The sequence below is a fragment of the Homo sapiens genome, chromosome 20 (genome assembly GCF_000001405.40).
Source record: "Homo sapiens chromosome 20, GRCh38.p14 Primary Assembly".
Classification (NCBI taxonomy): Eukaryota; Metazoa; Chordata; class Mammalia; order Primates; family Hominidae; genus Homo; species Homo sapiens.
In genome coordinates this window covers 30,570,095-30,594,353 of record NC_000020.11, presented here as the reverse complement: position 1 = coordinate 30,594,353, position 24,259 = coordinate 30,570,095, and the positions used below count along the sequence as shown (strand labels likewise).

Genomic DNA, 24,259 nt, shown 5'->3' with positions numbered 1-24,259 from the left:
CACAGGGCACAGGCTGGGCTTTATCGGGCTATTCGAGGGCAGGCTGTCCCCATGACCGCCTCAGGCGCTGGAGGGAGGACGGCCTGATCTGAGTCTGCAGAAGGAGGAAGAAGCTCGTTCCCTGAGCCGGCAGGGACACAGACGCGGATGCGGGACACAGGGACACAGGGGTGGATGCCATAACAATATATGGCATATATTTTGAAACATGGCCGCAATTTGAACAATTAGAATATCTAAAAACTCCAAAGATTGTTATGCTGAAACTGCACCAAAATTTATCATTCCAGTGACTACACGGAATTTTTAATAGTTGTTATTTTTATAATACAATTAAACTTTAATGAAATAACTGACTTTCAAACTTCAGCAAGAAGACAAATATTCAGCCAGAGGTATCAGTTCCCTGTTTCTGCTCCGGGTCCTCTCTGGTCTCCCACAGACCCTCCCGTATCACCCAGGTCTAAGGGGCCACTGGCCTGGCCTGCGTCCCTTCGTCCCTCCCCTTCCCCACCCAGCTCCTGCAGCGCCCTCCTGGGGCAGGGGCGGCGAACCGTCCAGAGCGGGAGGCTCCCTCACCCAGGGCAGCACAGCTCCGCCCCTCTCCGCACCTGCCCAGCCCCTGGCAAAGGAGTCGCCTGGGCCTGGCCCGCTGCCTGCCCCCCATACCTGCCCTGTGCCTGAAACGGCGACGCTGCCAACAAGAGGTGCCAGAGACCGGGGCGCAACCCGCCCAGAGCGCAGGGTCCCACTCACCTGGGAGCAGGGGCACGTCCCTCCCGGTAGGCGATGAAATTAAGATTGTTTCCTTATTTATTTTACTTAAAACTGGTAGAATGTTACTATTATATGAAGTACCCATGACTCTGTCAGTAAATTTGAGCAAACGTTTATTAGTTTTTGTCAGTTTAACTAGTTCTTTTGTGTCTATTATTAAGGTGAAATTTAACTTCTATCTGAAATCAGTAAGATACAGAGAGATTTTAATGACAAGTGAATATTTTTTTCTCAGGGGGAACTGAATTATGAATTGAATGAATGAATTATGAATTAAATGAATGAATTCATTACCAAGGTAGAGAGGACACTAACCAATCGATAGTTTTAATCAATCTGTATTCCCTCCCTCCTCCCTCTTTGTTTTTTTGTTTGTTTCTTTCTTTTTTTGTTTCTTTCTTTCTTTGTTTTTGAGACATAGTTTTGCTCCATCGCACAGGCTGCAGTGATGTGGCGCGATCTTGGCTCACTACAACCTCCGCCCCCCGGGTTCAAGCGACTTTCCGCCTCAGAACCCCGAGTAGCTGGGATTACAGGCGCCAGCCACCATGCCCAGTTAATTTTTGTGTTTTCATTAGAGGCGGGGTTTCACCACGTTGGCCAGGCTGGTCTCAAACTCCTGCCCTCGGGTGATCTGCTCACCTTGGCCTCCCAAAGTGTTGGGATTACAGGAGTGAGCCACCAGTCCCGGCCCCTCCCGCCCCTCTGTATTATGACCATGTGTACCCAGCATTTAGCTCCCACTTATGAGAGAGAACATGCGGTATTTTGTTTTTTGCTTTTGCATTAGTTTGCTGGAAACAATGCATCCATGTTGCTTCAAATGCCATAAATTTGAGTTTTTTATGGCTGTATAGTATTCCATGAGTCTTTATCCAGACCACAACTGATAGACGCCTGGGTTAAGTCTATGTCTTTGTGATTGTGAATACTGCTGTGATAAAAATATGGCTACATGTGTCCTTTTGGTAGGATATTTATTTTCTTTCGGGTATATACCCAGTAATGGGGTTACTGGGTTGAATGGTAGTTCAACTCTCAGTTCTTTGAGAAATCCCCAATCTGCTTTCCACAGTGGCTGAACTAATTTACATTCCTTCAGAAAGTGTATAAGTGTTCTCTATTCTCTAAATCTTCACCAATATGTGTTTTTCTTTTGACTTTTCAAAAAAAGCCATTCTGACTGGTGTGAAATGGTATTTCCTTTCGGTTTTGATTTGCATTTCTCTAATAAATAATGATGATGAGCACTTTTACATATGTTTGTTGGGTGCTTGTGTGTATGTCTTCTTTTGAGAAGTGTCTGTTCATGTCCTGTTGCCCACTTTTTAATGGAGTTACTTGTTGCTTGCTTGTTGATTTGTTTGAGTTCCTTATAGGTTCTGAATAATAGACCTCTGTTAGATGCGTACTTTGTGAATATTTTCTTTCATTCTGTGTGTTATCTCTTTACTACCTTGATAGTTTCTCTTGTTGTGCAAGAGTTTCTCAGTTTAATTAACTCCCACTTGTCAATTTTTGTTTTAGTTGCAATTGCTTTTGAGGACTTAGCCATAAATTATTTGCCATATGGAGAAATAGGAACACTTTTACACTGTTGGTGGGACTGAAAACTAGTTCAACCATTGTGGAAGTCAGTGTGGCGATTCCTCAGGGATCTAGAACTAGAAATACCATTTGACCCAGCCATCCCATTACTGGGTATATACCCAAAGGACTATAAATCATGCTGCTATAAAGACACATGCACACGTATGTTTATTGCAGCACTATCCACAATAGCAAAGACTTGGAACCAACCCAAATATCCAACAATGATAGACTGGATTAAGAAAATGTGGCACATATACACCATGGACTACTATGCAGCCATAAAAAATGATGAGTTCATGTCCTTTGCAGGGACATGGATGAAATTGGAAATCATCATTCTCAGTAAATTATCGCAAGAACAAAAAACCAAACACCACATATTCTCACTCATAGGTAGGAATTGAACAATGAGAACACATGGACACAGGAGGGGGAACATCACACTCTGGGGACTGTTATGGGGTGGGGGGAGGGGAGAGGGATAGCTTTAGGAGATATACCTAATGCTAAATGATGAGTTAATGGGTGCAGCACACAAGCATGGCACATATATACATATGTAACTAACTTGCACATTGTGCACATGTACTCTAAAACTTAAAGTATAATAATAATAAAATAAAATAAAATAAAAAAGCAAGAAAAGTATTTCCTAGGACTTTTCTAGGCATCTTATAACTTGAGATTTTACATTTAACTCTTTAATCCATCTTAAGTTAATTTTTGTATTTGGTGAAATATGGGGGTCTAGTTTTATTCTTCTGCATATGACTGGCCAGTTATCCCCGCATTATTTATTAAATAAAAGTCTTTTTCCCATTGCTTACTTTTGTCAACTTTGTTAAAGATGTGATGGTTGCAGGCATGTGGCCTTAGTTTCTAGTACTCTAGTCTGTTCCATTGGTCTATGTGTCTGTTTTTCCACCAGTGCCATGTTGTTTTGATAACTATAGTCTTCTAGGATAGTTTGAAGTCATGTAATATGATGTCTCTAGCCTATGTCTCTAGCCTTAGTATTGCTTTGGCTTGGCTATTCAGACTCCTTTTAGGTTCCATATAAATTTTAGATGTTTTCTATTTTGTGCAAAATGACATTAGTAGTTTGATAGGAAAAGCATTGAATCTGTAAATCGCTTTGAGCAGTATACTCATCTGCACGCAGATGATACTACAGTGTATGTTCTGTGGTTGATGAATGAAGTGTATTGTAATTCCAAATGGTCAAGCATTGAATTTAAATGCAGAATTTCTTTATTAGTTTTCTGCCTCAATGATCTGTCTAACACTGTCATTGGGGTGTGTTCCAATCTGTGTGCTCCAATGTTGGCTGCATATATATTTAGAATAGACATATATTGCATATATATTTAGAATATATTTAAAATACATTTTACTTACTGGTACTTCACTCACTTTTATTAGCTGGATGCCATCATGGGGGCAGTTTGCCTCCATTCTCCTTCCTGGGATCTGGTGTGTCCTTCATGATTCTGGTGGATTCCTATTCTTCTTCTTAAATTAAAGCTCAGAGAGTTGACATTTATGCACTATTGTGCTATGTCCATGTGGCTGAAGCATGCTTTAAGTCTCTAATCCATCATCTTGAAAAAAAATTTAATCTAAATTTGAGTTTATAAAAGCAAAATTGTATATTTTATTAAGTGGTTGTTATTCTCGAGCTAAAAGATTAATCTCATAAATACACATATTTATCTTCAGTGCCAGAACCAAATAATTAATAGGTGCCACCAACACGTATCAGCACAGTCATATTGTTTGTGTTTTACCGTCATTTTGGACACAAGAATAATAAGAAAAAAACTGACTTTAAGACACAATGGTATCCACATTATAAGAATTGTAGTAGTTGGCTCAAAAACTGGTGTCTTTCTCCAATGGGTCTCTGGAGGTAGTTGGAGCTAAGCTTGGACAGAAGAACACCAAGGTTCCCATGCATCGGAGTTGAGAGATAACAAAAGACACAGTTAAATTTGAACTTCAGATAAATAATAGATAAAAGTTAGTGTATTTATAAAGTATTGCATATACATATTGCATGCAAGTATGCAGATATCATAATAGAAAAGTATTATTTTTTTCAGAATCTTGAACTTAAGTATATTCTATATGACTATTTGCTGAATCTTGTAGCTCCACCATGAAAATAATAATGGGTCTTGGAAAATATGATATGTACCTGGAGAAGTGATATAGAATTAAAATTTATAGAATTCATATTGTTTGGTCAGAGCGTAAGAGAGTGTAATCAGGTCCTAATAAATACATTCAAAATGTAAAATCTTAATACAAACCTCAGCACTCACTGTAAGAAGTGACAATTAAGCTAGAGTGAATCCCCTGACCACTCTCAGAAGACACATAATGCATTTGAGACCAGCCTGGCCAACATGGCAAAACCACGTCTCTACTAAAAATATAAAAATTAGCCAGGTATGGTGGTGTGCACCTGCAATCCCAGCTACTTGAAAGGCTGAGTTAGGAGAATCACTTGAACACCAGAGGCAGAGGTTGCAGTGAACTGAGATCACACCATTGCACTCCAGCCTGGGCAACAAGAGCAAGACTGTGTCTCAAAAAAAAAAAAAAGAAGAAGAAGACAGATAATGCATAACAATGTATCATTATTATGACTTCACTTTAGGCTATTCTCCATAGAATAAGTTCCAAAGTATGTGATCATCATGGATAATGGTGGAGAAGATGACATAATTAATGAATCTTTATGTTATAGGTTATCTCTTAGGTATTAAATCTATGTTGGATAAAGAACATCTGAAGTAAGATTGCTATTATTTTGAAGATAATATCCAATTATTTTCTGCAAGTTGCATTTGGTCACTGTGAGACAACTTATGATGCGTGGAAAAATGCCAACTACCATGATTTACGTATAATTTATATTACAAAATTTTAGAAGAAAAACCAAACTCTTTGAGGGATTTTAAAGAGGCTTATTTTGAGCTTATATGAATGACTGTGGCCCAGTGAATCACAGGTTTAAGGAGTCCTGAGAAACTGCATGCAAAGCAGCTGAATTGCAGTTGATTTTCCATTTTAGAGAGGGAGAAATTACAGGGGAATACATAAATCAATACACAGAAGGTATACATTTGTTGGACCCAAAAAAGATTCTTTGAAAGATCAAGCCTTTCATTATATTGACTGAGCAAAAGATGGAAGACTAATTATTAAAATAATAAATGAAAGCAGAGCCATTACAACCAACTTTACAGAACTACAAAAGGATTACAGGAGTATACTGTGAACAACTGTCTAACAACAAATTAGGTGCCCTGGATGAAATGGATGAATCACTAGAAAGACACAAACTACCAAAGTGGCTCAAGAAGAAAGAGAAAATCTGAACAGATCTATAACCTAGGAGATTGAATTAGTAATCAAAAGCGATTAACAAAGAAACATTTATGACCAAATAGCTGCATTAACTGCTGAGTCAACCTAACATTTAAAGAAGAATTAATACCATTTCTTCTCAAACTCTTCTGACAAAATATATGAAGAAGGAATACTTGCTAATTCATTTTTTGATAACAGCATTATCCTTATACCAAAGCCAAAGAGAGCACAAAAGAGAGAACTACAGCACAATATCCCTTATGATATATAAGCAAAAATCTCAGCAAAATGCTAGCAATACTAGCAAAATACTAGCAGCAATACTGCGTAATCAAAGGATTGTAAACTATCACCCTTTGAGATTTATCCCCAAAATGCAAGTGTGGCTCAACATATAAAAAATCAATCAATGTAATATACTGTAACACTAAAATGAATAAGCATGTTATTGTTTCAATTGATGCAGAAAAAACATTGATGAAATACAACATCCTTCTATAATAAAAATACTCAGTAAACTAGGCATAGAAGGGATCTTCTGCAACATGACAATGGGATGTACAAAAACCCAACAGTTAATATCATGATCAATGATGAAACACTGAAAGCTGTTTTCCTAACATCTAGAACAAGACAAGGATGGTGCATTTGCCACTTCTATTCAATGTAGCACTGGCAGTTCTAGCCAGAGCAATTAGGCAAGACAAAGAAGTAAAAGGCATCTACATTAGAAATAAAAAATAGGTGTAAAATTATATCTACACATGATCTTATGGGTATAAAGCTCCAAACAAAACACAAAACCATTTATAACTAATAAAAGAGGCAGGATGCAAAACAAACATAGGCAAATGAGCTATATTTCTATTTAGTTGTAAATAACTATGAAAACATTTTAAAAATTCCATTTATAATAGCATCAAAGAATAAGTTATTCAGGCATAAATGTAACCATGGTGGTATACACAAAACTTTGCTGAAAAAAAATAAAGAGAGTGGAAATAACTGGAAAGACATTCTGTGTTCACGGGTTGTAAGACAATATTGTTAAGATGACAATACCATCTAAAGTATCTACAGATTCAATGCAATATCATCAAAATCCCAAAGGCATTTTTGCAGAAACAAAGAAACTCATTCTAAAATCATACAAAAATTCAAAGGATCTGACAGACAAAACAGTCTTGAAAAAGAACATTGGAAAATTCACATTTTTCAGTTTCACAGCCTACTACCAATCTACAGTCATCAAGAGAGTGTGGTACTGGCATAAGACCAATAGACTTTTAGACCAATACAATAGAACAGATTTGAGATCCTACAAATTAGTCCTCACATATATGGTCAATGACTGTTCAACAAGGTGGCCAAGTCTAGTCAAGAGAGGAAAGAACAGTCTCTTCAACAGCTGGATGTCAGTGCACAGGAGAGAAGTTAGACCCCTACCTTGCAGTATATACAAAAATTAATTCTAAATTAATAAAAGACTTAAATGTAAGGACTAAAAATATGTAACTCTTAGAAGAAAACACACAGTACATCTTTATGACCTTTGAGTTTTAAGTGTATTTTGAAATACGACAGAAAAGCACAGATAACAAAAGAAAATACATGTAAATTAGATTCAATCAAAATAAAAACCCTTTATGCATCAAAGGATACTATCAAGGGAGTGAAAAGACAACCCATAGTATGTGAGAAAATATGTATCTGCTAAAATCAATGTGTTTATCTGATAAAAGCTTAATATCCCACAACTCAACAACAGAATTTCTAAGATCCCAATTAAAAAAGAGGCAAAGGACTTGAATAGACATTTCTTCAAAGAAGATACACAAATGTCTAAGAAGGACAAGAAAAGATGCTAAACACCATTATTCATTAATAAAATGCAAGACAAAACCCAAATGAGATGCCACTTTGCATCCACTGGTAAGGCTTTCATAACAACGACACAGAAAATCAATGTTGCTAAGGAGGTGGAGAAATTGGAGCCCTCATGAACTGGCTGCTAGGAACAGAAAATGATGCACTTGCTGTGGAAAACAGTTTGGTGGTTCCTCAAAGAATCACACAGAGAAACAGGCGCCGCTGGCTTGCGGGTTCTCCTGGGCTGGCGCGGGACTTCCCGGAATCGCAGGCGCTCATCCCTTCCCTCCTGAGGGCCCCCCTGGCCGTGACTCCCGCCCCTCTTCTCCTCCGAAGAGAGATCGGGGCCGCTCCAGGGGCCGTCTGCAGCCACCGGGGATGGGGCTGAGGGTCGGTTCCTGCCCCGGTGCAGCCGCCTCCGGGCAGACCGCCTGACTTGGCCTCAGTCACGGCGACATCTAGCCCCGGTTCTGCGAGGCTGGGCGCGCCAGCCAGCTTGGAAGTTGCCCGGCGCCTGTAGCTGGGCGCCCAGGTGGTGGAGCATGGCCTGGGCGGCCTCTGGATCACGAGTGCCCCTGGCCTGAGAGCCCGCCAGACCCTGCCCCCGCCCGGGTCCTCCTCTGCCAGAGCTCGAGACCTCCAGCCAGGGGTCCTCTACAGCCACCCGGGATGGGGCTGAGGGCCGGTTCCCGCCCCCGTGCAGCTGCTGCAGGGCAGACCGCCTGGCTTCGCCGCAGCCACAGGGACATCTGGCCCTGGTTCCGAGATGTGGGGAGTGCGGGCGGGCTCGGGAGTTGCCTGGAGGCTGCTGCCTGCACACAGAAGGCGGCTGCAGCTTAGGTGCCCAGGCGGGCTGGAGGTGCATGGCCTGGTCGGCCTTGGGATCGCCAGCGCGCCCAGCCTGAGGGCCCCCAGGCCGTGCCTCTCGCCCACTCCTCCATCTGAGGGAGATCGGGGCCGCTGGCACGGGCACTCGGCAGTCACCCCGAGTGGGGCTGAGCGGCGGGTTCTCAGTTCTGGCTCCTGTGCAGCCGCCGCCGCCGGGCAGAACGCCTGGCTTGGCCGCAGCCACTGGGATACCTGGCCCTGGTTCTGCGATGCTGGGAGCGCGAGCGGGCTCGGGGGTTGCTAGGCAGCTGCTGCCTGCACACAGAGGGCGACTGCAGCTTGGGCGCCCAGGCGGCGGAGCATGGTCTGGGTGTCGTCTGGAATGCGTGCGCGCCAGGCTTGAGGGCCCCCTGGTGGTGCCACCTGCCTCGCTGCTGGGCGCCTCCCTGCCCCTGCGCCTGCGCCGGCGCTGGGCCTTTGCGAGGGCTGAGCTGAGTTCTCCTCAGCACAGACCCGGAGAGCATCGCGAGGGCGGAGCTGAGTTCTCCTCTGCACAGACTTCGGAGATACAGCGAAGGCGGAGCAGCGTTCTCAGCACAGACCCGGGCGGGCGGGCCGGGAGCACCGCGAGGGCGGAGCTGCGTTCTGCTCAGCACAGACCTTGGGGGCACTGCCTCGCTTTGGTACAACTCGGGGCCGCATCGACGGTGAATAAAATCCTTCCTGTTTGCAGCCCTGAATAATCAGGGTCAGAGACCAGTTAGAGGGGTTCAGTGTGGAAAACGGGAAACCAAAATCCCCTCTGAATCCTGCCCACCGAGGTTCTCCCCAGCCAAGGCGAGGCGGCCGCAGTGCGAGATCCACACCGCAGCCTCAGAAGACAAATGCAGCATTCCTAATGCAGAAATGACACCCAAAATATGACACCCCCATTGCTCATGTAACAAGCACCTGTAATGCTAATGCACTGCCTCAATACAAAAATATTAATATAAGATCCGCAATCCCCTCGCTGCCGTGCAGTCCTAAGACAGCGATCATAATAATCAACATTGACATAGTCAATACCAACGTAGTAACGAACCTAGGGTTAAGGTTGGTGTTAGGGTTAGGGGTTAAGTTTAGGGTTAGGGTTTGGAGATAGCGGTTGGGGTCAGAGTTAGGGGTTAGGAGTCAACGTTTAGCGTTAGGGGTTAAGAGACGTTAGGGGTTAGGTATTAGGGGTTAGGGTTGGGTTAGGGTGAGGGTGAGGGTTGTGGTTAGGGGTTAGGGATTAGGGTTAAGTGTTAGGGTTAGGGGTTAGGGTTAGGGTCAGGGGTTAGGGGTCAGGGTTAGGGTTCAGGGTCAGGGTCAGGGGTCCCACTCTGTGGGTTGTGTATTTACTCTGCTGACTGTTCCCTTTGCCATGCAAAAGCTCTTTAGTTTAATTAAGTCCCAGATATTTATCTTTGTTTTTATTGCATTTGCATTTGGGTCCTTGGTCATGAAATCCTTGCCTTTGCCAATGTCTAGAAGGGTTTATCCAGTGTTATCTTCTAGAATTTTTATAGTTCAGAAAATAGGTTTAAGTTCTTAATCCATCTTGAGTAGATTTTTGTATAAGGTGAGAGATGAGAATGCAGTTTTATTCCCCTACATGTGGCTCGCCAATTATCCCAAAATCATGTGTTGAAAAGGGTGTCCTTTCCCCACTTTATGTTTTTGTTTACTTTGTCGAAGACCAGTTGGCTGATTATACTTGGGCATATGTCTAAACAAAACATGTATAGATCTGTATGCAGAAAATCATGAAACACTAAAGCAAGAAATTAAAGAACACTTAAATGAACGGACTTGTTATATTAATGAACTGGAAAACTCAATGTGAGAAAGACAGATCTACTGATTTCACATAATGTCAATGAAAATACCAGCTGAATTTTTGGGTAGATATAAATAAGCTGATTCTAAAATGCATGGAAAGGTATGCATTCCATTTATATGGAAAGGCAAAGGAACCAGAATAGCTAAAAACAATTTTGGAAAAAAAAGAATAAATTTGGAGGAATCAAACTATCCTAAGATTTACTATCAAGCTACAGTAAATATGACATCTTGGTACTGGTGAAGAGATACACACATAGATCAATTTAGCAGAACATAGTACAGAAATAAACCCAAACAAGTGGTGTTGGGATGGTTGGTCATTCACATGTAAAGAAATAAACCCCAACTTAACCATCGCATATTATTAAAAAGTTAACTCACAATGGATCACAGATTTAAGTGTAAAACCATAAAACGTCTAGAACAAGAGAAAATCTTCATGACCTGGGGCTAGGCAGACTTCTTAGATATGACATCAAAAGCACAATCCAAAAAAGATAACATCGATAAATCAGATGTCATTAAAATTAGAAATTTTGTTCTGCAAAAGACACTATTAAGAGAATGAAAAGACAAGCTACAGGCTGAGAAGAAATATCTGCAAATCACACATCCAAAAAAGGACTTATATCCAGAATATATAAATAGCTTTCAAAAATCAACAATAGGAAAAATATAACCCAATGTAAAACTGGGCAAAGCATGCATACAGACACTTCCGCAAAGAAGATATAAGGATGGCAAAGAAACAACAACAAAAAAGTAATATCTGCTGAACACCATTAGCCATTAGGGAAATGTAAATTAAACTCACAATGCTTAGAATGGCTAAAATAAAAAAATAAGGAAAATACTAAGTGCTGATGAAGATGTAAATAAACTGGAAATTTCTACATCATTAGTGAGAATGCAAAATGGTACAGATACTACAGTTTGACAGTTTCTTATAAAGTTAAACATGCATTTCCCATATGACCCAGTAAACATACTCCTGGCTTCGTATGCTACAGAAATAAGCACAAAAAAACTATACATGAATGTTTATATCAGCTCTATTGATAAATGCCAAAAAGTGGGGGGAAAAGTCTATCAACCAGTGAATAGATGAACTGTGATATATCCATAAAGTGGATACTTCCGTTAACCAGAAGTAAAAGAAATGAAGTATTGATACGTATAACAACTTGGGTGAATGTCAAGAGCAATTTGCTGAGTAAAAGAATCCGGTCTCAAATGTTACATATAGCATCAGTCCATTTATATGACATTCTCAAAAAGACAAAGCTGTAGAGTTTTAGTGCTTATGGTAGTTGCCAGTGGTTACAGGTATGGTGAGGGGTAATTATGAGGGAAGACATGAGCGGAGTTTTTGGGGTGATGGAAATGTTCTTTTTCTGACTACGGTAGTCGTTACACAAACTATGCCTGTGTTGTAATAGAATTGTACACCAAAAATAACAAAATAGTCTATTTTACTGTAGAAACATTTCTTAAAAACCTGTTTTAAAAACCTGGAAACACAATCTTAGTTATAAGGCATGGTCTATAAATGTTGTTATCATTTCTAACAATTTGTTTCCAGGGATTTTTTTTTAGATTATCGAAACATAACCAATCATTGCTCTTCAACTCTTCAATACTCTGAAATAGTTGGTGGATTATATAACCTACCAATATTAAGTGAGATTAAGGAATATATCCAGGGGTTATTTCTATTCTATTTTGATACCTAATTCCAATTCTACACTGCAAATCCTTGATGCCAGCTGTCTGTTGAGTAGCTACTCTAACCATAAACACTTAACAACTTTGTACGATGTCCTGGACACATAGAGAAAAATATGACATGGTCCCAGAAATAGAAGAACTTTCAGTGTATGGATTAGATAAAGATAAATAAGAAACGAAGAGCTATAAGACTTAGGCAAGGCAAACTCTATACTGGAACACAAAATTCAGCACCATTCTTCTCCAAGGTACAACTCTCTTGCGTCCTCTAGCGTCCTCAAGTAAGGACCATTCTGTAAGCTGCAACGAATGAAAACCTTAGAGTAGCTGCTGGCATTTCCCTTTCACGGTCTTGGATATAAGCAATTTATGATCATCAATGTTTGACAATTATGACAATCAATCAAACAATATTATACTAAGTCGATGTTAGAGATTTGGTTTAAAATACTGAAACCAAAAAAAAAGGGGCATGGAGTTGATCCGAGACAGGCAAATGTTAACAAAGGTTGAAGCTGGGTGATGCTTCCACAGAATTATTTTAGTCATATTACATTTGGCTATGCTTATAAATTTCCATAGTAAAAACTTAAGGGAAAAATAAAAGCTATGAAGCCTATTTGGTTAAACGTGGGTAAAAATCCAAAAAGAAGTCTACTGGAAGAGGAAAACATTGAATTAATATTGTTATTGTTATATCTTGTGGTTAGCATAATTAATTTTTTTCTTTTACTCTTTCTATACTTTCTTAATCTTTTACAATATGCAATCATTTATATAATCAGAATATGAACGTAAATATTTCAAATAAAATTAAATTACAGATAACTAAAAAAAATAAAAAATTCAAAGCTCATTAACCTCGCTTTTACGGTCCTCTAGAAAAATCCAAACATGTCTTCTGAAGCTGACACTAAACACATCAAGAACTAAGGCAATGGATGGAAACTATCTGAATTCAAATCTCAGCTCAGGCTCTTACCACCTGGGTGACCTAAAGATAAACCATCTATGCTGTGTGTCTCTTTGCTTTTCTTTAAGATGGGAATGGTGGCACCCAACCCAGCCTCAAAGGGCTCTTGTGAGGATTACATATGTTAATTCATATCAAACTCTTAGAATGATCAGCACTCAATGTTTAAATACTATCTTTATTACTCATGCCCAAGTTCTCCCTCATCCGTTTCTGCATTTATTGAACAAATATCAGGGCATCTTCGAGCAGAATTTGCCAATGAATGAAGGAAATATCGTCTCCCCTGGGAAGAAAGGATGATAAGTACTACTCAGGTGAGACTCCGCTGCCAAGTGCCAAAGGGTTATTCCCTCCTTCTCCCTGAAGCCTTTTTCAAGAAGTCAAGGCTAAAGAAGGAAAGGAGGATGGGAGAAATCAGAACTCCTGCATGAATTACAGTGGACTGCCCAGACAGCCCGGAGTGATCCTCTCCTAAAGAAAAATCTCTCAGTGATCAGAAAAGGGCCAGGGATACTCTGCAGCTGGAGCTCTGACCCCATCCTGGGCTCACAGAAGCTTTCAGGGAACTGAGTCCTTCTCAGAAAATTAAAAAGTGCTAATAACAAGAGACCCATCTTCTACCATCTGTCAGGCTCTGTTCCAAGCCTTTTTATTTAACTCTCAAAAGAACTCCATTAGATAGATACTAGTACCATTTTAAAGAAAAAGAAACATAGGCAGAGAGATTAAGATACTCGCCTTTTATTATACTGCTAGGAAATGGCAGAGCTGGCTGATGGTCAGGGGAAAGGGCTGGGGGAGTACAGAACCCAGGAGATCCCCAGTCCCTGAGATGTAGGATCCCGGACCCCCTGCGCTAAGTGGAGATGCGCCAGCTGCCCCACACTGGAGAAGGCTCAAAGAAAACAAATCCCACCCTTCGCCGCAGGTGGATTCTCCTCCCCTAGGGCTACTGTCCAGTTGCTACTGGCCTCCAGCAAAACGAACATCAGTATGGACGGAAGGAGCAGGACGCAGGGCGGGGAGGGTCACCTTTCTGGGAGGAAAGAAGGCCGCGGCCTAGCGTACCTTGGGCGGAAGTGGCTCTCCCTACTGAGACCTCCTGGACTACGCTTCCCAGAATTCTCGACGGGATCAGGGAGACGGCCTCAGCCTCCTAGAGCGGAAGTTACACGACTACACGGGGCTCCCAAACTACACTTCCCAGAATTCCTAGAAAAACTCTCCACTCTCTGCCTGCCTAGGACGCAAGTGCAGGGTGCCAAGCGGAGAGCCTGGATCATATTTCACATGTGCCTGTCCCAGAGGAATTCCTTAACTCTCCCTTCCTGGAACCGAAATGCTTCCAAAGACAGAGAGCTCCTATATATATTTCTCTGTTTTCCCCAGAGGACCGTGCATGAAAGGCGCCTTTCCTGGCGCGTGTGTCTCTGACCCTGTGGATCTTCTGGACAATTCCCGGAATTTCTTGCAGGGCAGCACTTCCCCTTAAGTCGTCTCTTTCTCGTTTGGATAGTCAGTATTTATATAGTCACTATTCTCTTTTGGTTAGCCATCTAATTTTATACTGCTAGTCAAGCTCTACTCCCTTCCCCCTAGAGTTTGAATTTATTTTTCTTCAAACGCTACACAAACCCAAATAAACTCAACCAAAGCGGACTTTACCTACCTTCCTACCTACCTACCAAGAAAATATCCCACAAAGGAGAGAACGGAGAAGCTTGCAATACAGGAAGAAAAAAAAAGAATTACAGAATGGAAGGGATGTGTGCGCTAAAAATGCAGGTACTTAAAGGAAATTGGGCTGATTTGTACTGGACACCGAATTTGAGGAATACAGGATCTCAACCTTTCTTTGACTGGATTACTTTTTTATTCCATTTTGGTGTGGACGCGTCTGAAACTGATAGTGCTGCTGCTACCTACCATAATGTGTTTGTTGCAAGATCCACAAGAACGTGGATGCCAAGAATCCACAAAAAAAAAACAGATGCAACCGTTGATGAGGCCATAAGCAGAAACAGTAAGTGGTTCCCACGTTTCCTCTGCTTTAACTACTGATGATGAAATGCAAGTCATAAGGCAAATAGAAGGGCTGTACTGATACAGACAAAATGTTATTATTATGGGAAGGGATAACTCCCTTGTAAAACCTTGAAATGTTTTTCTTCTTTGAGAAAAATCTATCACCTATTTTCACCCTGCTCTTGATATAGCAAATATTGTAAGTTGTCTTATGGAGGATGACTCAGGGAAGACGGTGAATGGGTTCACTCAATCCAGAAAAGGAAGAGGAAAATAAAAAGACATAACGACCAATCTGTGAAAACGCTCAGTGGCTTAAAAGACACTATTAAGAGATGAAACTATTTGATTCTTTATTTAACTCCTTTCCAAGGAAATGTTTTTGAAAATCCATACGGTTTACATATTAAAGAGGATCAATCTGATAATAGGTGATTTTTTTGAAAAAATGAAAATTTAAAAATAAAAGGGACAGAATAATATTTTGTATACTTCCACTTCTAGTAATAATAAAATGAGTGATTTGGAACAAACATGTAGCAGAGGAAAGGTGAGCAAACTTTTTAAATGTCAAAAGACATCAAAAGACAAGATAATGGAGAAATGGTGGGCCAAAATTCAGAAACAGTTGGGAGAGTCATGCATTTGGGGCTACTTTTCTCCTGGGGATGATGGTCTAGTCTAGGATCTGAAAAGCCTAGAATCTCTGCAGCACTTTTGACACCTATATGAAGCTGGGGGAAAGAAAGATTCTAGCAAAAATTAAAATGCACATCTTTTCAGGCGCACATAAGATTTGTACAAATGAGTAAAATGATATGGGATTTCAAAATACTGAAATACTATGTTTTCGAATACAGTGAAATTTGGCTAGAAATCAATAAAAATACAACTAAATGATTCATGTGTGCATTTAATAAATATTGTCTCATCTCCAAACCCACCATTCTTCACTCTGCTTTATGGGGCTGGAATGGGGGAGTCTGCAGCCAATCTTTCCCGACCTCTACACCCCCAATCTGGTTCTGTGTTCGGCAACTATTAGCAGAAGAGTATAGGGGTGGTGGGGGCAGGGAGATATACTGTATCCTGTGCCTGCCAGCCAGCAGTACTTTTTCTTGTAGCAACTGCCTAATTTTCAGTTTTTCTAACACTTGAATACCTATTTCATCATGGCTCTTTATAAACATTATTAAACAGCTTCCCAAAGACTGATCCTTAGATGTCTAAGTGCTAAAATTGCAGGGCCCTGTTTCTGAGCTCAGAGACAGCAGAGCCAGCTGAACACTGGCCTCTCCTTAGAGGTCTGAGTTTCAGGTGAGCATGACCTTCCTCCAAGCTTCTAAGTTTTAGTAATTCCTGTCTCTTCACTTTGTTTCCTCAGACCTCAGGTGGTTGCTGCTTGCTGCAGTTGCTACTTCCTGCAGTTGCTACTTCCATCATATATTAGAGTTTTTTTGTTTTTTTTTTTGACATAGTCTCGCTCAGTTCCCCGGGCTGAAGTGCAGTAGTGCCATCTCGGCTCACTGGAACCCCTGCGTCTCGGCTCCAAGCAATTCTCCTGCCTCAGCCTCCCAAGTAGCTGGGATTACAGGCATGCACCACCACTCCCAGCTAATTTTTGTGTTATCAGTAGAGATGGGGTTTCACCATGTTTGCCAGGCTGGTCTCAAGACCTCCTGACCTCGTGATCCACCCGCCTCAGCCTCCCAAAGTGCTGGGATTACAGGCGTGAGCCACAGCATCTGGCCCAGAGTTCTTTTTCTGCTCTTTCAGAAATCTAGCTACCAACTCTACAATATGCTAATTTTTCTTTTCAAATAATTGGTAAGGTTTCTATCTTCTAGGTGGACCCTAAATTATAAACTTGTTTGGAAATTAAACCACTTTTAAGTAATCCATAGATAAAAGAGTATGGCATTGAAATCTGGTGTCATCAGTGAATTCCACCAAATATTTAAAGAAGAAACCATGTTCATCTCAAAATTATTCCTCAGAATAACAAAATAGGAAACACTTTCCAACTAACTTTATGAGGCCACTATAATAACACTGACAAAATTTGTGAGAGGCTTCATTACAATAGAAAATGACAGGTCTGGCCGGGCACGGTGGCTCATGCCTGTAATCCCAGCACTTTGGGGGGCTAAGGCGAGCAGATCATGAGATCAGGAGATCATGAGATCAGGAGATCCAGACCATTCTGGCAAACACCAACACAGTGAAACCCCGTTTCTACTAAAAATACAAAAAAAAAAAAAAAAAAAAAAAGCCAGGTATGGAGGCACGCGCCTGTATTCCCAGCTACTTGGGAGGCTGAGGCAAGAGAATCACTTGAACCTGGGAGGTGGAGATTGCAGTGAGCTGAGATCGTGCCACTGCACTCCAGCCTGGGTGACAGAGTGAGACTCCATCTCAAGAAAAAAAAAAAAAAAAAGAAAAGAAAAAAGAAAGAAAAAGAAAATGACAGGTCTATCTCATCATAAATATACTTTCAAAAATCCTAAACAAAATGTTGCCAATCATATATAAAAGGGTAACACATCATGACCTAGGTATCAGAAACAGAAAAAAAAAAGTTTGATTAATCACCCATTTGTCATAAGAAAATTTAGGCAACTAAGCAATAGTAAAGATCTACAAAAATGGCAACAAATACCAAAAGGAATAGTGAAATATTGAAAACATTTCCTCTACGATGGGGAACAAAATAATGATGTCCACTCCAACCATTTCTACTAAATACCACATTTGCTCCTTTATCCTGCAATCTTGCCAACTAATCTAATTAATTTTAATATTTTATGTGTAGATCTTTTGAATTTTATATGCATGCTCATGTTGACTTCAGATCTGCAACAAATGTGGCACTGCAGCACCATGGGAACAGGGCAAATATTCAACACATGTTGCTGTTAAATTGAATATTGTGAAATAAAACTGAAATTGACCTATACCTCCCACTACATGCAACAATCTAAGGCTGGTGGATTGTAGAGCACAATTTGAAAAGCATTTCTTATGACACTTAAATCTACTCAGTGTATAAACCCATAAGAAATGTGTACCAAAATACACATATAAGAATGTTCATAGCAGGATCATTCATCACAATGACATACTGAGAATACTTCAGATGTCTATCGATGATAGTATGGATAAATATTTTTTGTTATTTACACAAGGTAAGAGCAAGGACATTGAACAAACTTTAGCTGTACATGCAATACCATGATGACTCCCATAAATATGTTGAGCAAAATAACTAGACAAACCCAGTAGATGCAGCGTGATTCCACTTGTTCATTAGACATGCAAAATTCATCAGTAGGATGATTTTGGACAATTAAATAGTAAAAATATAAAGAAAAGCAAGGGAACCTTAAAACTTAGGGTAGCGGTTTCTTTTCCTGGGGAAGAAAGCATCATGATGCTGTGAGAGTGGGGTGTTTGCAATTCTACCATGCTCCATTTTTGGTTGTGAGTGGTGATTATACAGCTGTTCATTTTATGTTCATACTTTCACATGTATATTTATGATTTGGACACTTTTCTGAATGTAAGTGATATTTCAATCTGTAAAAATCAATGATATATGACCAACAAACTATGGTACATCAATACAATAGAGTATTATTCAGCCATAAAAAGAAATGAGATATGAAGTTATGAAAACACATAGAATAACCTTAAATTCATATTGTTAATGGAAAGAAGCCAGTCTGTCAAAGCTACATACTGTAATTCAACTATATGATAATCTGGAAAAGGCAAAACTAAAGGTCAGTAAAGTGATCAGTGGTTGTTAGAGGTTCAGAGAGATTAATTGGTAGAGTACAGGGTATTTTTAAGCAGTGACACTATTCTGTATGATATGGTATGGTGGATATAGGATGTTATGCTTTGTCAAAACCCATGGAATGTACAACACAAAGAGTAAGCCCTAATGTCAACCACAGACTTTAGTTAATAATAATGTGTCGATATTGGTTCATTAGTTGTAACAAATATGCCACACACATGCAAGATGCAAACAATAGGAGAAACTGGGCAGGGGAAAGGAGAGCATATGGGAAATATTAATACTTTTTCTGCAATTTTTCTGTAACCCTAAAACTGCTCTTAAAATAAAGTATTTTTTAAAAAATCAATGATATGTTTCAAAGGAAACTGAATATATGGCATAGAACTTTTTTCAGAACTTAGAGGGAAGGACTAAAAATAATGAGAAACTCTATAATGGATATGAACATATTGATCAGGTGTATCTTATAAGCTAATGAGAAAAAATGAAGATTAGAGAAGGAAGCAGATTGTAATAAATAAATCATTAAGAGAGAATAAACAATTTATCCAAATGGGCAAAATCACATATTGGAAGGAGGAGAAGAAGATGGAGGAGAAGTGGGTGGAAGGCCAGGGTGTGTAGGAGGAGAAGTAGGAGAGGAAGAGTAAGAGAAAAAGGAGGAAGAGACTCCTAGAGATGCACTTGTAGACATTGAAAATTTTTTTTAATGGCAAGGCTGAAGACTAAAGAATTGAGTCAATTTCAAAGGAATGAAAAAATAAGCTTTTCATTTTAATTATTGTCTGCAACATTAAAAGTAGTAATAAAATATAAAAATAATCTCTGGGGTTTTGAAATGAAAAGATTGATCCTTCTATGGTCAGAGAATGTTTTGTTCATGTGCACTATTCTTGGCATACAAGATTCAGTTGTGAATCACTTCTAAATTCTTTCTGGAAAATATTCTTCAAGACATATTACAGACCTTTGGCAACAACACAGATAAAGCTTCCACAGACCGTCTTCCTAGTTTATTTACATAGAAATACTGAATAAAATGTGAACATAAAACTATCATTTATTTGAATAGGGGAATGTTTGACGGCATACATATTAAAAATAGAAAGAAAAAAACAAACAGATATTATTTATTTGTTCCATTATATCCCCCACTACCCACTCTCATTTTCTCCCCTGTAGCATCAGTAGCCAGGTCGATCTGTTTAATGTGTGCCTGTTGCTGGTATGTCTTTTTGGCAAATGTATGGAATTTCGGATGCATATATATATATCTTGTGTTATAAAACTCTGTTAAAATTTTTCACTCAAAACTAGGTTTTTCTCAATATTTTACTAAAAAAAATTTTTTTGAGACAGGGTCTTACCTTGTCACCTAGGCTAGAGTGCAGTGGCATGATCACAGTTCACTGCAGCCTTGACCACCTGGGCTGAAGCCATCTTCCCACCTCAGCCTCCAAAGTAGGTGGGACTATAGGTGTGCCCAACCACACCTGGCTATTTTTTTTTTTTTTTTTTTTTTGCTAAGATCGGGTCCCACTATGTTGCCCAGGCTGGTCTCAAACTCCTGGCTTCAAGTGATCCTCCCACCTTGACCTCCCAAAGTGCTGGCATTATAGGCAGGAGCCACTGTGCCTAGCTCTGAAATTTTATACCATAAAGAAGAGTTGGAAGAATTATACAGTAGTCACCCATATATTCTCAGCTTAAATTCTAAAATTAGCAACATTTACATCTTAGTCATCCATCTAGCTATCTTACTTATTACTTAGCCATCAGAACATTAGCATTACCCGACAGATTCCCCCATGACACTTACCAGTCAATCTCTAACCCCTTCCCCCAGTGGCAACCACTGTTCCACTTTTTCACCATAAATTTTACTAATTTTAGAATATGAAATATATGGAACCATACGGTAAGAACTCTTCTGCATTACAATTCTCTGAATATAGTGTTTTTCAGATCCATCCATGTTGATGCACATATCAGTTATTTGATCCTTTTTATTACTGAGTGATGTTCTATTGCATGAATATATGTCTTTGGAAACTTGCTTACATTTTAATTGTCTAAATATTTTTATGAATAAAGATCCTGCAGCATACTTATAAAAGTATTTTTGTGGTCATATGCTTTCTTTTCTCTGGAATAAATATCTATGATTAGAATTGCTTGGTGTGTTTAACTGCTTAAGAAAACACCAGATCATCTCCCAAAAGATTAATTTTACACTGTCTCCCAAAATATATGCAATTTCTGATTGTTTTGAATCCTAATAAGCATTTGCTGTTATTAATATTTCTTTTTTGAGATGGAGTTTCACTCTTGTCATGCAGGCTGGAGTGCAGTGGCATGATCTTGGCTCACTGCAACCTCTGCCTCCTGGGTTCAAGCGATCCTCCTGCCTCAGCCTCCTGAGTAGCTGGGATTACAGGCACCTGCCACCATGCCTGGCTAATTTTTGTATTTTTAGTAGAGATGGGGTTTCTCCATGTTGGCCAGGCTGGTCTCGAACTCCTGACCTTGGATGATCCGCCCACCTCGGCCTCCCAAAGTACTGGGATTACAGGTGTGAGCCACCGCGGCTGGCCTGCTATCACTATTTTTAATATCTGCCATTCTGGTGGTTGTGTAGTTGCATCTCTCTGCAGTTTCCATTTGCTTTTTCCTGATGACCAATAATGTCACACTTCTTCACAGGCTATATTAACAATTTGTATGTCTTCCTTTGTAAAGTAACTGTTCAAATTTTGCCCATTATAATTGAGATGTTGGGCTCTTTAATATTGAATTGTACAAGTCTTTATACATTCTGGGTGTCAGTCAGTCTGAAATTTGGGCAGAGTTTAATGTAGAATAAGGGGCAATTCTTTGCTTGACATCTTTTTCCCAGGATTTCTTCCCTCACTTTCCAGGTCCTGTGGTCACCTCAGTCTCTGTCATCTAGGTCTTCATGCCAGTGGATACTACAGAAGCATCCACAGATTCAATGAAACAGGGATCAAAAATATTCAGAAAAAAATACAAATTAACAACACAACAATAAAAATAACACAAATAAAAAATGCAATATAGTATGACAACTATTTACAGGGCATTTTTATTGTGTAGGGATAGAAATAATTTGAAGTATGCAGGGTGATATGAAAAGGTTACATGAGAATATTATGGCCATTTTACATAACAGACTTGAGCATCCACGGATTTTGATTTCCATAAGGGTCCCTGAACCAATTCCCCACCGATACCAAGGTACTACTGTATTCAGGATTTTTTCACTTAGTTCATGAAGGATATTCATCTGTAGTTTTCTTTCCTTGTAATTTCTTTGTCTTGTTTGGTATTATCAGATTAACGCTGGCCTCATGAGACAAGCTGGGGGTGGGTGGGTGTTCCCTTCTCTTTTTGTTTCTGGGTTTATTTAAAATTCACATCTTTACTCTTTAAATGTTTAGTAGAATCCACCAATGAATTCATCTCAATATTGGTTTTTTTATTGTTGTTGTTGGAAGGCTTTATCTATTAAATCAGTTTTGAAATATATATCAGGCCAGGCAAGTGCAGTGTGTCAAGCCTGTAATCCCAGCACTTTGGGAGGCCAAGGTGGGCAGAGCGCTTGAGCCCAGGAGTTCAAGACCAGCCCAGGCAACATGGTAAAAACCCATCTCTACAAAAGATAGAAAAAATTAACTGTGCATATATATATGTGTGTGTGTGTGTGTGTGTAAAAATTGTATGTATGCACACACATACATACACGCAAGTATCTAGGTTATCCATTCTTTCTGAGTGAGCTTTGGTAGTTTGTGCCTTTCAAGCAATATTCCATGTCATGTAAATTGATGAATTTATGGACAAAGAGTTGTTTGTAATGTTCCCTTATAATCCTTTTAGTATCTGCAAAATTTGTAATAACGTTCCCTCCCTCCTGATTTTTGTTTTCTTCTTTTTCCCTGTGGGTGAGTCAGTTGAAAGGTTTATAAACTATATTGATCTTCTCAAAGAATAAGGTTATGATTTTGTTGATTTTTAAAGATTGTTTTTCTGTTTCCAATTTCATTGACTTATGTAGCTGCCACAAAACTTCACTCTATCCTCTCCAGGACCCAGCTGGGCTCAAGAATTAAATTAGCATAACACAGATTAACAGAACAGCAGGCAAATTTATTTAATACAAGTCTTACATGTGACCAGAGCCTTCATTACAAAATGAAGCTCCAAAGAAAAAGTCAGTTATGTATACACTGTAGTGAACAAAGAATAGTAAGTTGTTAAGAAGCAATTGGGCCAGGCCTGGTGGCTCATGCTTGTAATCCCAGCACTTTGGGAGACAGAGGCAGGAGGATAGCCTGTAGCCAGGAGTTTGAGACCATCCTGGTCAACGCAGTAAGACCGTGTCTCTACAAAATAAAAATAAATTAATTTTTTTTAAAAAAAGAAGCAACTAAATCATGCAGACAGGCTTGAAAGATGTTATTTTAAGGTGGTCTGTACAGAATTCTTTTGGGCTTGACTTCTCATTTTGAGGAAAAGTATATTGCTCCTTTTTTTCCAGTATAAGGAGTGGATCTTCTTTCCTCCTTCCCACCCTCCCTCCTTCCTTCCTACCTTTTCCCACAGATGTGCTAGCAGAATGTGCTAATTCGTAAATATCTTCTGCCCTGAGAAGAGAGATGACACAGCAAGAAGAAGGATGCTAAGTCATACTCAGTTAAGATTCTGCTGCTAGGAGCCAAAGAGTCATTCTTTCCTCATTCCTGTGACCATCTGCGAGAAACCAGAACTATGTCTCCCTCCTGCACGAATCACAGAGGACATCCCCATACAATAGCCTGGAGTGATTCCCGCCCCACCCCCCACCCCCATCCCCACACCCCCACCCCCACTTTTTTAAAAAGGGAATCCAGGAATCGTCCTGCTTCCTGTAAGGATCAGAAAGAAGGGGCAAAATAGCACTGCAGGTGGAACTCTGATCCCTTCCCAGGCTCACAGAAGCTTTTAGGTAACTGGGGCTTCTCGGGAAATTAAAAGAAAATTAATAAAATGAACCACACTTACCACCTTTTACTTGTGACTATCTCATTTAATTCTCCACTGAACTGCATCGGTTTGGTACTTCTATTCCCCTCATGTTACATAAAAGGAATGCTAGGCACATACAGTTTGAATTACTTCCCAATTTCACACCCCTAGAAGGTGGCAGAACTGCCTGGTCAGTCCTGGAGTAGGAACAGAGCGCACAAAATACAAGAGATTCTCAACCCGCCAAGACTAAATTCTGCAAACTCGACAAAGGGTCACTCACCTGGGGCCCAACCCCATCTTCCACTGCTAGCCACGGATGCTCTTCTTGAAGACAAGGAGGGCCACCGCCAGGCTAAACGAAACATTGCTGTCTCAGGCCTCACTCA

General features: G+C 40.0%; 1 long non-coding RNA gene and 1 pseudogene across 1 annotated transcript; one reads left to right on the top strand and one right to left on the bottom strand.

The window, feature by feature from the left end:
- Positions 1–7,294: 7,294 nt before the first annotated feature.
- Positions 7,295–8,843, bottom strand: LOC105379482 (translation initiation factor IF-2-like; annotated as a pseudogene).
- Positions 8,844–14,250: 5,407 nt separating this feature from the next.
- LOC107987280 (uncharacterized) lies at positions 14,251–23,908 on the top strand. Its single transcript, XR_007067755.1, has 2 exons — positions 14,251–15,038; positions 23,469–23,908. It is a non-coding gene; the product is annotated as an uncharacterized LOC107987280 (long non-coding RNA).
- Positions 23,909–24,259: the final 351 nt, after the last annotated feature.